At 39.4% G+C, this 14,350-nt stretch overlaps 1 protein-coding gene across 11 annotated transcripts in view; it reads right to left on the bottom strand.

Moving 5' to 3' along the window:
• The window catches only part of FAT3 (FAT atypical cadherin 3), a 671,656-nt gene that overhangs the window by 113,068 nt on the left and 544,238 nt on the right, over window positions 1–14,350 (bottom strand). For all 11 annotated transcript variants that reach the window (XM_017017179.3, XM_017017178.3, XM_017017180.2 and 8 more), the window contains one exon: window positions 9,226–9,365. In XM_017017179.3, the coding sequence (XP_016872668.1) occupies window positions 9,226–9,365 (140 nt within the window). The remainder of the gene's footprint in view (window positions 1–9,225; window positions 9,366–14,350) is intronic.

The raw sequence follows: 14,350 nt of genomic DNA, 5'->3' as shown, positions 1-14,350 counted from the left end.
CACAAGGGAAGTATAGGCCACTGCCTTTTTTTTTTTTTTTTTTTTTTTGAGATGGAGTCTTGCTCTGTCACCCAGGCTGGAGTGCAATGGCGTGGTCTTGGCTTACTGCAACCTCTGCCTCCCAGATTCAAGTGATTCTCTCACCTCAGCCTCCCAAGTAGCTGGCACTACAGGCGCATTCCACCACACCCAGCTAATTTTTGTATTTTTAGTAGAGAAGGGGTTTCACTATGTTGGCCAGGCTGGTCTCGAACTCCTGACCTCGTGATCTCCCCACCTTGGCCTCCCTAAGTGTTGGGATTACAGGCGTGAGCCATTGCACCCGGCAAGCCACTGCCTTTTTCACTGCCAAGAGGCAGATGACACAAAAGGAGACGAAAGAAAAACCCTGATGAGGGAGATGCCCTGTGGGAGTCTGTTGTTCTAGTGAATCATAGAGCAGCTTTGGCAAAAGTGATTTGTTTCTTCTCCACTTTTAAGTAGGTTCAGGATGAAGGGAGGCCATAAAACAAAGTCCACATCTTCAAGGTAAAAACCTACTTTTAAAGGAAGCAGGCCAATTAGAAACTCCAAACACAGCAGTTAGAGATGAGAGAGGAAGAATGAACTCCTCAAAGCATTGAAGGTCAAGACTAACCTTAGGAATTCAGGTCACAGCCCTCCCAGCCCCAATACATGAAGGTCGTTTTGCAGAAAGACTGGCCAATTTCATTAATTGCCTTTGTGAGGCTTTAGAATTTTGGAGATTATCTGAAAGAGCTTTTTAATCTCAAGTTTGGCTGTGGAGCATAGAGATACAAGCTGATTTTCCTATCTTTTAAATTTTATTTTAATTAATTAATTACTTTTTGAGACAGGGTCTTTGGAGTATAGTGGTGTGATCATGGCTCACTGCAGCCTCGACCTCCCAGGCTCAGGGGATCATCCTGCCATCCAAGTAGCTGGGACTATAGGTGTGTGCCACCATACCTGTCTGGTTTTTTTTATTTTTTGTAAATACTGGGCTGGTCTGGAACACCTGGGCTCAAGCAATCCTCTTGCCTTGACCTCCCAAAGTGTTGGGATTATAAGCATGACCCCTGTACCCAGCCTTTTAATTTTTTTAGAGACAGGGTCTCAGGGCATGATCATAGCTTATTATAACCTTGAACCTTTGGGCTCAAGTGATCCTTCTGCCTCAGCCACTTGAGTAGCTGAAACTATAGATGCACGTGACCACCACATCTGGCTAATTAAAAAATTATTATTATTATTATTATTGCAGAAATAAGTTCTCGCTGTGTTATTCAGGCTAGTGTTGAATTCCTGGCCTCAAGTGATCCTCCCGTCTCAGCCTCCCAAAATGTTGGGATTCATATGTGAGCCACCATGCCTGGCCTTCCTATCCTTATAAGTCTAAAGGATTACTTGAATAAGAAAAACATTAAAACCACAAAATCACATGAGTCCCTGAATCAAATCAATGTAACTTTTAGATTATAATTTGGACATGGCTGTCTCTGCTGTCTTTCATAAATAACAATAATAGCCATACACATATTTTATAGCTAATTTTAAGTTGAGAAACAAACATTAATAAAGTCTGTATGTGTCTAGCATATCACAGATTCCAAGAATCTTCTTGTAATAGCGTATTTCATCTTAAAATTTATGAGGCATGTAAAGTTTTATTCTCTTTATGCTGAAGAAACTGAGTCTCAAAGTGACTGAACTGCCTTCTGTAGTTACACAGACAGCAGTTGGTTAAGTGCTGACTTGAACTTGGGTTGCCTAATTCTGAGTTGGTGCTCCTTTCATTATACCAGATGATTTCAATAATGAGTTAAATTGTGTATTTCATATATATAAATGTGTAGGAAATGTTCCTGGACTCGTATATGATTTTGAGAAGAAGCAGGTTTATATCTCTTTACCTATGTATACCTAAGCAGGCCACCTAAGCAGTCTGTGCCTCAATTTCTCACTGGAAATGAGTGTAATGATAACACCTGATTTAAGTATCCCAGAGTTATAGGGAAAATAAGCTTAAGAATGAGCCTTATGGCCGGGCGCGGTGGCTCGGTGGGAGGCCAAGGCGGGTGGATCACTTGAGATCAGGAGTTTGAGACCAGCCTGGCCAACATGGGGATAATCCCATCTCTACTAAAAATACAAAACTAGCCGGGCGTGGTGGCATGCACCTGTAGTCCCAGCTACTCTGGAGCCTGAGGCAGGAGGGCAGGAGAATTGCTTGAACCTGGGAGGTGGAGGTTGCAGTGAGACGAGATTGTGCCACTGTACTCCAGCCTGGGCGACAGAGTGAGACTCTGTCTCAAAAAAAAAAAAAAAAAGAATAAAGAAAAGAAAAAAAAGAACCTTATTACTTAAATAATTATTATATAAATACCAGGTATCATATATTACTATGTATTTTCATCCATTAACTCTTTGAAAGAGCCATGTTCTAGTTTCATTTAAACTTGCTCTGATGATGCAGTAACTCAGATTGATTTGGCAGATGTATGGGGAAAGGTGCTAAAATTCATAATTTCTCATTTTTGGTAATGTGTGTCTCTGGGGCCCAAAAGCTCAGTGGGTTGAAGTTAGAGCTATGAGAAGGCTGAAGTATTTTGCTCTCTTCTTTGAATGGCTGACTATAAGACAATCTGACAGCCACAGGTGGCATCATGTTCCCTAAGCCACCATCTTAAGAGTGTCTCCTTCATAACTAGTAGGGCCAGGTGAGTTTCTTTTCCTGCATTAGAACAGATATCAAAATTTTCATCTTGCTTTTAAGAGACAGCATTGTGTAGTGGTTAAGAGAACAGGATCTGGAACCTGGATATAAACCCTGATCTACTCTAGTTATTTAACCTTGCTTTGCCTCTCTTTCCTTATCTGTAAAACGGGCATGACAGTAGTACGTTATTTTTCTATTTGTATCATAAAAAGTTACTATAGGCTGGGTGCAGTGCCTCACGCCTATCTATAATCCTAGCACTTTGGGAGGCCAAGGCAGGCAGGTCACTAAAGCCCAAGAGTTCAAGACCAGCTTGGGCAACGTGGTAAAAACCCACCTCTACAAAAAATACAAAAATTATCTGGGTGTGGTGGTACATGCCTATAGTGTCAGCTACTTGGGAGGCTTGAGGTGGGAGGATTGTTTGAGCCCAGGAAGTCCAGGCTACCGTGAGTCGTGATTGTGCCACTGCACTCCAGCCAGGGTGACAGAGTGAGACCCTGTCCTGGAAAAAAAAAAAAAAGAAAAAAAAAAGTTACCATAAACTTAGAAGCTTAAAACACTGATTATCTCATAGTTGTGTAGGTGAGGACTCAAGGCCGAAATCAAGGGTTGGCATGGATGTGTTTCTTTCTGGAAGCTCTGGGGATGACTGCCCCAAAATCATTCAGGTTGTTTGACCGAATATAGTTCCTTGTGGTTGTAGAACGGAGGCCCCTGGTTTCCCTGCTGGCTGTCAGCTGGGAGTCTCTCTCAGCTCCTTAAGGCTGCGTTAATTCCTTGTCATGTTGCTGCTTTCATATTCAAATTAGAAATGATGTCTCAAGTCCTTCTCACATTTTGAATCTCTTACTTACCCTTTTGCTGCCTCTCTTCTTCTGCTTAAGGGCTCATGTGATTCGACTGGGCCTAACTGGATACTCCAGGATCCTCTCTGTGTCTTAAGATTTATACCCTAATCACATCTGCGAAGTCCCATTTGCCATGTAACATAACATATTCACAAATCCAAAGATTAGAACATGAACATCTTCTTGGGGAAGTGAAGGAGAGCTCTGTTGCCTACCACAAATAGCACCTGCTTCACTGAGTAACTGTAAGAGTTAAATGATTTTATTTTTGAGGATAAATATATGTAAACACTTGGGTTTTTTTTAATCTATTTCATGTGTTTCAGTCTGTTATACTCATCCCATTATTCTTTTTGATGTTCATATTATCCCATCTTTGATCAGTGGAAATCCATTTAAGTCTCCTCTTGTCATGCTTTACCATGATTCCAGTAGGCTTTTCTGGCAGGAAAAGATGCCCTAGGCTCCTGCCCCAAACCTGCAATTATCCATTTCTATGAGGAATCCTGACTCCTTTCCAAGGTAAACGGTATGTAAATACCACAGTCTGGGCACTATGGGTAGAATTCCTCTTAAAATGGCTTCGTAGTGCTACTTTATGTTTGGAGGGACGATAACCCCATCCTCCTAGGCATTTCATTATTCCTGCTCCTTATGGGTCTCTGTTTCTACCTGGATACTCTCTATTCCTCCCTTGCTCATAACAGCCAATGCTCCTTGTGATTCCTCAACTCTTTTCCAAGCAGATACAGTACCGATTCCTTCAACCTTTTCATCCCCCTGTGCCAGAAACCCTTCAGACATCCTCACTCATCTCTGAGCTTCTAAGACATTAACATGAGGAACACTTCTGTAATGTTTAAGACTGGTAGTACCCCTTTCTCCCACAGAATCTTCCTATTTTTTAAAAAAAATTCTCAAAGAGAGTGAATCTCCTGTTTGCTGTCCAAGGCTTTGGTGGACAGTCTTTCTTAACCCAGAACAATAGTGCTTTGAAACACCATGGCAGCCCGGTGACAGAGCTGGGGAGCCTTCAGAGGACAATGATCCCCCCAGGTGTGTGCATATGTTTCCCAGGGAGTGTCGGGGGCTGCATGCTGAAATTTTTAACTAGAGTTACTGGCTGAAAAAAAAGTGTTAAGGAGTTAGTTTATCTTAACCATTTTTAGATCACATACCCATTTGAACATCTGATGAAAATTATGGACTTTCTCTCTAGAAAAACATATACACATGCCAAAATTTATTAACAAGTTCATGGGCTTCAAGGACCTCTTAGGAACTCAAACTGTTTTGGAAGGTTTAAGTTGTTTGTACAATTAGGTCCTGATTTGCACGGGTTTGTTAGAGACAGCAGGATTTGAAGTGGGGCAGGGGTCTGGATAAGAAGGCATCAGGGTGCTGGTTTAAAATCACTCCAGTGAACATTAGTCATTCTTTAGTCCAGGGAAATGCTAATTCTGGTGTCAGTTAATGGACTATCTGCTATCATTCCACAACATTAGTAGTGTAGAGAATGGGTAAGCTTTTAAAACTTGGGATAATTCTTGGGACATGGCAAGCACTAAAAAATGCCAGTTGGTTTTAGGCAAAGAGAAGACTATCAAAGAGCCACTAAAGGCGGCCATCCTGGGATGGCACATGAGGAACTGGGAAAAACCCACTAAGATACCTTTGGCCTGGTGTGGCCACAGAGCCCTTGACAAATTCTACCTCATGTGCACCGAGGGTGCCTTAAGGCACTGTCTTGCACTTTCCACCCCAGGATAAGTCAGAAAGTATCCAGAATAGTCCTCACTAAAGGATGGGGATGCAGCCACTGGATCTTCCACTTCATCAGAGACAGGGCTCTGATGTCTCTGATGAAGTGGAAGATCCAACATAGACTCATTTCTCACAGCAACATGTGAGGCAAACCCCATGTTTGCCTCAGAGAAGCTAACAGATGATAGGAATAATAATAATAGCAGCAGTAGCTAATATTAACTGAATTCTTACTACAGTTAGACCTCATGCTGATACTCTGCATTCATAAACTCATGTAATCCTCATAGCAACTGCCATGTTGTAGGTATTGGCACCTCCAAACAAGAAGACTAGGGTGCGGAGAAGTTAGGTGGCTTGCTTGAGGTGACTCATCTGTTTCGTGACAGAGTTGAGATTGGGATGCAAAATTACCTGCTACAAAGCCCATGTTGCCAAATACTAACATTGTATTATAAAAAGTATAATAATATCCCTTACAAAATAAAGAACTAGTTTATGCAGAGGCCCTTGTCCATCTTGCTAGGAGGTTTTTGTCAGTGTTGGGATGCTTTGTTCTTGCGTTTAGTTCATTGGAATCTTTACAACTTAAAACCCACAGGACCTTCTTATGTTTTGTGCTCACCCTAAGGAATCTCAGGAAAGAAAAGGATGTGTGTCATTAGATATTGTAGCTCTGAGGCACATGAATCCTGTGAGAGTTGGGAGAATAGGACAAAACTGAAGGTGAGGGAAGGGTTTTCATGTAGATACAGAATCACTGAGGATCTGATTTATTTGACATTTGTGAAGCCAAGTTCAACATGTTGTTTATGGATGACTTGAACCCCATGTCATATCATGTTTTATGATTCCAAATGAACAAAGCAGAGAAAAGTTCCCAAAGGAAAACTAAACAGGTGTTTTGGGGCTACAGGACATTTATTTAGTTATATGGTGAAGGTTATCTGTTTGATGGTAGAATCATTAAGTTGCCCAGCGTCATGCATGGGAACATGCTTTCATGGTTTCCAAAAGAAATTCAGAATGCCTTTTATTTCCCAAAATGTCCTTTTGTAAAAGTGTTCTTGACACGGAGGGTGCTGACTAATTCAGAGAAGCATTCCTGCCACCACTGCTGGGAAAGCCGTGGTAAGTGTGAGAGAGGCCTGGATTGGCAGGGGCTGGTGAGGTGGTCAGGCCCTAAGATAGCTCAGCAGACAGAGTAATGACTTCCTGATGGCAATACCAATGACATACAAGTATGTACTTTGGAAACTCTTAGTTCCCACTTCATAAAAAGGTCATGACTCTGGAGACACAGAGTGACTTGAATACTTTAGACAAGAAAATCTCTTGGCACCCTTCATTAACTTCCTTATCTTGGCCCTACCAAAAGGTGCCTCAAAGTTCACCTAATTCTCTAACTAATTCTAAACAGCCCTGGAGATAAGCCTAACTGTATACTAGCCACAAATAAAATAAACAAAAACAGGACTCAAAGAGTGTGTACATTCAAAGTCTTGTAATACATGTTTCCATATTAACTTGAAAAAAATGAATGCATGTCAGTCACCTGGATTTAAAACTGTGAATCACTGTGACCTTAGTACTTAGCATCTAGAACTGCTCCTAGCCTATGGTGTGAACTCTAAAGATATTTGTGGAACAAACGCTGTTAAATGATTTCTCATCTGGTTCTAATAAAATTCTAAAGTAAAAGTATCATTGATAATTTTTGTTGTTGTTTTTAACATGAATCAGTTTTGTGCTTTGGAGATCCAGCATATCTGCTGCATAGACTCTGCTGAATATGTATCTACTATTCATTCACTTGTTCTAAAAATATTCAATTTTTAAAATATCCATAATTGTATTCTGGGCACACTGAATACCATTTAATTCAACTGGTATGAAACTCTGGAGAAAAGTCTGGAAATGAATACGGTTTCATGCTTTATTTGTATTTTACTCAAATATGTCATGTTTTTAAGTGGCACTAAGAAGTCAAGGTTGAATATGCTAAGACAAGGCTAATTTTTAAAACTTAAATTCACATTTATAATGAATTAACACTTAAGACAGCAATACAGCAGGTGGGTTGTTTTGTATTAGTCTTTGGGGGTGCGCTTTTGGACTGTGTGGTTCTCGTAACACCTCAGCCATGGGTTCTTTCCATGTGTCTATATTTCAGCCTTGAAAATACCCGGAAACAGTATGATTTTCGATAGGGTGACCATATAATTTATCATCCCAAATGGGGCAATTTTGAGAGTTAATGGGGTCCTCGACCCTGGCTGCATGTCAGAATCACATAGGATTTCTGTGGCTGTATTTACTGAATTTCATATTTTAGAAAACTAATTTTGGTTTATTTTTACATTCCACATTCTTTGCATTTCATTTTGCTGATCAATGAACAATATATTACTTTTATATAACAATTATTAATAGTCAGTTAAGGGAAGGAGAATAATTATGCCAATTCCACAGACATAAATGGGACTCTTTAAGGCAAACAGAGTCATATGATCATCCTAGTTACTGGGAAAGGACACAGGTTGGAGGATCAGAAATTGTCTCACACTGGCTCCCGTATTATATGCAAGTCACTTCCCCTTTCTAAGGTTTCAGTTTATTCAAATGAAAAGTAAAGGAGTTGTACTAAAGTGAACCCTATTGTTTTCTTCAAATTCTACCATTCTATGATTATAAACAGATTCAAAGAAAAGAGTTGCATTATATTTTTCAAATAGTCTCAAACTAAGAGGCAGCTGGCTAGGCAAACACATGAAATATTCATCCTCTCTCCTTTATAAAACAACATAGTTGCAAATGCTTACATCATATTTAAGATGAATCAAGACTTGCTTGCTTCAGGGTTGGCAAAAATTTCACCTTCACCACCTGAAGCACTGTGTTCAGAAACACTCTAAGGACATATCTGGGCTCAGCAGAAAAATGGGCCTTGATGAATTAGTGATGCCTTCTGGGGTTAGGGGAATCTCAGAGCGCAGTAGGGACTAAGAGAGGGGTTACAGCATATGCATGTGTGCCAGCTCTCTGCCATAACTGGCTTAGGTCTCTGGTGCTAAAAAATAAGAAAAAAAAATCTTCTCATATTTAGTACAGGTCTGCCCCATATTGTTATCTAACATTGTGCTAGTCTCAGAAAGATGTACTAAGCCACATGAGAAGCCCAAAGATTTTCTTTTCCTCCTGCTCTCAATGCCCTTTCACATGCGCTTAGGTTGCAAAGTATAAGGAGCGGTCCTCGACCCTGGCTGCATGTCAGAATCACACAGGATTTCTGTGGCTGGGGTCCAGCCACGGGTGCTTTTAACCTCTCCCCACAACCAGGGGGTTCTACTATACAGACAGCAAGGACAAAGAGGCTAGAATGGCAGAAGAGAGTCAGGACACCTAGATCCCAGTCCTTTTTCTTTACTAAGGCTGTGTGACCTTGGATACATCACTTAGCTTATCTAAGTCTATAAATGAATTTGGACTCTTAGGTATTCTTTAGCTATAACTTTCTGTGACTAAAAAAAATGAGGAGGTAAAGAATAACATGGTGTGTTAACTCAAGCAATATAGATGTCCTCCTCTTTGTAAATTCAAGGAAAGTTGACTTTATTGTCAAACAGATAAATCTACAGTAGATGATCAGGAAAGAAACACGCATTATTTTTCCATGCATGATCAATCACAACTTCTTGAAAGCGGCAGCTAAGTCCTATGATATCATCTATAGAATCCCTTTTCTCACTTGTTCTTGAAAATGATTTTTTTAAACACTAGAAAACCGTCGACATAATTTACTACTTCCATTACATTTTTTTTTCATTGCTTGCACCCCTGACTTTGGCAGCTCTTTCAGCATTCCTGCTATTCAGTAATTTAACATCTCACCTGAGTAACAGCAACATTTGTCCCATCGGTGACTTCCACACTCATATTATAGATGGACCTCTGCTCTGCATCCAAAGGTTTTGCGATGACAATTGTCCCAACACCCTTCTCTGCATCAAAAGCGCTGTCAAAATTCCCCCCTGATGATTTCACAGAAACATGAAATTAGCAAATCTGATAACTTGTTACATGCATTATATCATATATCTTTAAAGGGAGCTCTTATACAGAAATTTTTTTTGACAGGCATCCCTATGGCTCAATTTTGTACATCTTAAATGGGACCTCTTTATTTCTAACTTGATTCATAGTTCAAAACACAGCCTCTACAATGCATAACAAATGTCACAAAAAAGGAATGTAGTGCAAAGAAAAACCTCAGCAGTAATGTTAGAGTAGTGAAGCATAAACTGACTCCATTAAATATTTAGAAACCTAAAGGCCCTTCAACTTCTTGTGGCTTCTGCATTAGAAATTTGTAGATCTTTTTGTTTTTTCCAAAGTAGATTAAATTCCAAGTAAATAAATAGTCCAATTATTATTAATAGAATGAGTAGACATTTAAAATCTATTCCAGGATTGATGGTAAACATTTGGCTGCTAGAATTCAGATTCCCTTAATTAAACGTCAGAAATAAAATTATGAATTCTAAACAGTAAAAAAAAGCAAAAAAATTTCATATTAAAAATTCTATATCTGCAAGCTGGGATATTTATAGAAATACTTATTTTGCCATCTTGGTAGTGTAAATTATTTTTCTCCTAAAAAGGCAGAAAGCCTAGGGAAAGTCACAAAATAAAATTGGGAAAGAAGTAGAAGAAAACATCAGCTTATATAACACCAAATTACAAAACAATTTACATGGAAGTTTAGAAAACTTTACTTTCCTCTCAACCCCCTGGCCACATATAACTCACAGTCTGTGAGTGATTTGCTTAAGACAACACTGCCATTGTTGAAATCACTGCTGATGTTTCTACCTCTGGGAACCAAAGTGTGGTTTATGATCTTCCCAAAATGAAAGATTTTTTTGAGGGGGAGAAAAATAATGGTATGTATGTGGGAACAATTTTAATTAAGCATGAGTGTATGTTCACAAGCTCTATTTCTTTTGGCCTGAAATTTCATGGTGTTGATTTTGTTCTCAGACAGTAATTTTATTTAACTACAGCATATAGGGCAATGTATTTATTGAATTTCATATTTTAGAAAACTAACTTTGGTTTATTTTTACATTCCACATCTTTGCATTTCATTTTGCTGATCAATGAACAATATATTACTTTTATATAACAGTTACGAATAGTCAGTTAAGGGAAGGAGAATTTTACCTGAATTACTAGAATCTGATGTACAATGACATGGAATAAATAATATGGTTTACTTAAAAAAAACCTGGTCATATATATATTTCAAATACTTATTGCTTGCAGCTGTCATATACACTTAAGATTATTTAATTGCAAGAGAGAATATAATTGCCCTTGACATTTAATTAAAGTTACGGAGATACGAGAGTATCAGAGAATTGCTTGGAGATTATATACTTTTTAAAAAATTTCATCTAAAAAGAGACTCATCTTCCAATTAATATCTTTAATTGATTTGATGAGGAGCACTAAATATTAACTCCAAAAAAATTGTTTGAAGATAGGATAAGGAGAGAGGGGGGAGTCTAGGCTGAAAAGGGAAGCAAGCCTTAGGTCACCATTTCTTATTCAAAGGGAATGTTTCATGTTGATAACAACATGAAATAAAATGGAAGGCTGATTTGAGTGTCTTGAAAAACCATCTTCATGAGCAAAAGAGAAAAAAAACATGATCATTTGCTATTAAGCGGTACATTCTGAGAAAAAATTTGCCATGGAAACTTTCAAAGAAAGGACATAAAATTGCCTCATAAGTCCTGTATGGAAGGAAAGATGAGAATGTAACTTCTCAGGTTGTTTCTAGTGGGTATTAAATCCCATTTTAAATCACATTTAGAATGTTTTCTTTACCAAAATGTTAACTTTCTTAAATCTTTGGGTCATGATATTATTTGGAGGTGGGGGAAGGAGTCATCCTCTAATGTTGATCATTTTAAAATGTGAAAATGTGTGAGTCAAGTCAAAATAAAGATTATGCAAATTATAAAACTTTAGTTTGCTCCAGTTTAAAGATGATTAAAAATAAAATTTAGAGAACCAGCAAGCATAGATTCCAGTTTGAGTTACTGTTTAAATGGGGCAGTCCAATTTGCTCTCTCTCACTGAATTTGACTCACATTTTCCCCAGGGCCCTGTATAAAAATACATAATCATCGCACGTGCTTAGTGGTATAACATTTACATATGGCATATAGAGTGTGTGCTTTTTCTTAGTCGTTTTTCATATCAAATACCATTTTTGGCTAATTTTATGTTTTTTTTTTTTTTACAGTTCTCTCTCTTCCTGTGTGTGTTCATATATGTATTTGTATGTGTATGTGTATGTGTATATCTCCCTCAAATTCTTTAGAACAGAAACCTCTAAAGGGACAGGGGAGACAGACCAAGAGCAGAGCCAAGAGCATTTGAAGGAGAGCCTACAAACTATGTCTCTCAGCTTACCAATATAGCTAGCAGCCTCGGACACTCATTTCCAGGACATTTGCTCCTAGTTAAACTAAGATTTAATGTAAAACAAAATCTTCCATGAGTTTTAAAATGAATTTCTGACAAGGGACACAGAATCCAGACCAGCAGTTTACCATCAACCCTCACACAATTTAATAACCTACCACTTAAGCATCCCATTTCATAAACGACTCCATATCTCTCCCCCAGGTCTCATTTTTCAGGCTCCCTTTTAGCCTGAAAGTGATTTCAGTTTCATAGGAAACCACGTCCAAATCGTCCAGGGTGAGAATATCAAATGCAAGGAGTCCATTTTCACTAGCAGCATTCCGCTTAAACAAGGTGTGCTTCCTCAGAGCCAGTAACAGAACATGCAAAGCCAGAGTGTGTTCAGTGCAGCAGCGTTAGGCTCAACAAAAGGTGGGGAGGAGGGAGGACACCGCAGAGCTGGTCTGAGTTTCAACAAAATGGGAAATTAGAAAAGCCACAGCCTGAGCGTTGCTGCAGGGGTGTGCGGCAGAGATGGTTAAAAGCGAGGTTGTGAACAGCCCACATAACAGATAATTCACATCAGGGATGTGTCTCTTTGACCATTTTCGGTCAAGACAGGTGTAATAGAGTAAACAAAGAGCAGATGAGGCACAATGGATTTCTATTGGATTCTAAAGTTAAACATCCCAAGTAGGAATGTCCCAAAAGGCTTTAAAGATGGGACATAAATGGAAATATTTTGAGCCAGCAGCTACTGCTTAAATATGCTGGGCATTGGAGCACTGGGCCGTGATTCAGTCTAGTTTTTCTTTAAAGAAGGGTACGAAGCACCTCTGTCCCTCCGTAAAGACACCCAATGGTGAGAATCACACAGCTTCCCCTTTAGAGAGCTTCCAGGTCCCTCCCCTAGCATATGATTCTTTTCCACTCCACATATAATTGTAAAAATACCAACCCACATCTAGTTGTCACCAAGGGGAAGGTGTTATGTGAGCAGCTTCCAGAACACGGAGCTGCCGAACCTCAATGAATTCAGGGAGTTGTGCACAAGCTGTTGATTCAGGTTCCGCATGTACACCGAACTTAAGAAAAAATGCTAAACACCAGTTACAATTTGATCTTGAAAATGCTAAACACCAATTATCATTTTCCCCTAATTTTCTGCCTTGAAATGAAAGCAAGCACAGTACCTGGCTGAAAAGGATATTTACTTGGAAGACAGGGGACACCAGGTGGAGGTCAGGAAAAAGTGGCTGGAAAGAAAATCTCTTCTAGAATCGAGTTTAGGATTCATTTTCTTAAAACTATTAATAGTATATGAAGTGTTTCTAGGCTTCTTCTTATTTTCCTGAAGTTTCTACAGATGTGCTCCTATGGACCAGACTGTTGCTATGGAAAAATGAGAGGCTTATTTGGGATCAAATTAGGGAAAAGGGGCAGAATAGGGGAAATGAAGTGTTTGATGTCAGTTGAATGACTTGGAGCAAGGGTCACCCTGATGAAGGAGCAGCTGTAATAGAAATGACGTATGAATATGGTTTCTCTCCATATCACTGGGTAAGAGTCTTTCGCTAGAGAAATACAGCCACCTGATTAGGGAAGACCCAGAGGTGTCCAAGCTCTAGTTGAAGAACAAGGCTGCTGCTAGTCCTACCAGAGACTTCAATGGGCCTACTTCATTCATCTCTAAATAAGCGATGGCTCCACTGGGGACAAGGTTCAAGAAAGACAGGCAAAAGCTTATGACACAGCAGCAGCCTGGAGCCCAAAGTTTGAAGGAACCTATGACAAATGAAGGGTCAAAGCAGCCTTCCTGCAACACAGAAAGACATTTCAACTGGAGTTGGAACTACGTTCTATCACTCACCAACAGAGAAACATTTTCAAAGAGCAGCCTTACAGTAGGCGAGATAAAGAAAGATATTTTAGGTGCTTACTATTTACAAAGAAAACTATTTTTCTCCCCTAAGTCAGGTGAAAAGCTAAAAAATGGGTGACAGCACCCCCCATCCATCTGCAGGTAAAGAGGAACTGTCTGAGGTGTGTAATAAAGGTGGCCTTCTCTATTGAAATATTTGCCAACAGAATAAAGATACAGGGACTGAACTGTGAACCAGATTGCATGCACATTAGAGAGTCTGTAAATCAAGGAGCTGTGGAGTTGAAATCATAGTCCCCTGAGAAGTGTGAAGATATGTGATAAAGCCACAAAGGATTATGGGTTATTTGTGTTCCCTTCACTTTCTTTCCCTTTTAACACAGAGAAGGAACATGCTGTGCGTTGGGCTGTTTAAACACAGAACAGCTGAACTTTATTATGTTTCCTTTTAATTACAGCTTTCTTAACTCAGTTACAAGTAGGGCTTCTGTTTCTGGAAGCTGAAAAGTCTCACTGCATAATATTGTAAGCAGTGGTCTCCTTGGAGGCACAAGAAAGTGTGTGACAGATCCTCGATGCAAGGGTCCAGGCTTGGAACAAAATCTTGCTTGCTACCCAGCTTTTGTGAATTCATATCATGGTGGGAGACAAAGAAAT

This window comes from Homo sapiens, chromosome 11 (assembly GCF_000001405.40).
Source record: "Homo sapiens chromosome 11, GRCh38.p14 Primary Assembly".
Taxonomy (NCBI): domain Eukaryota; kingdom Metazoa; phylum Chordata; class Mammalia; order Primates; family Hominidae; genus Homo; species Homo sapiens.
Note: the sequence above shows the minus strand (reverse complement) of the source record. Positions and strands in the feature narration are given on the sequence as shown.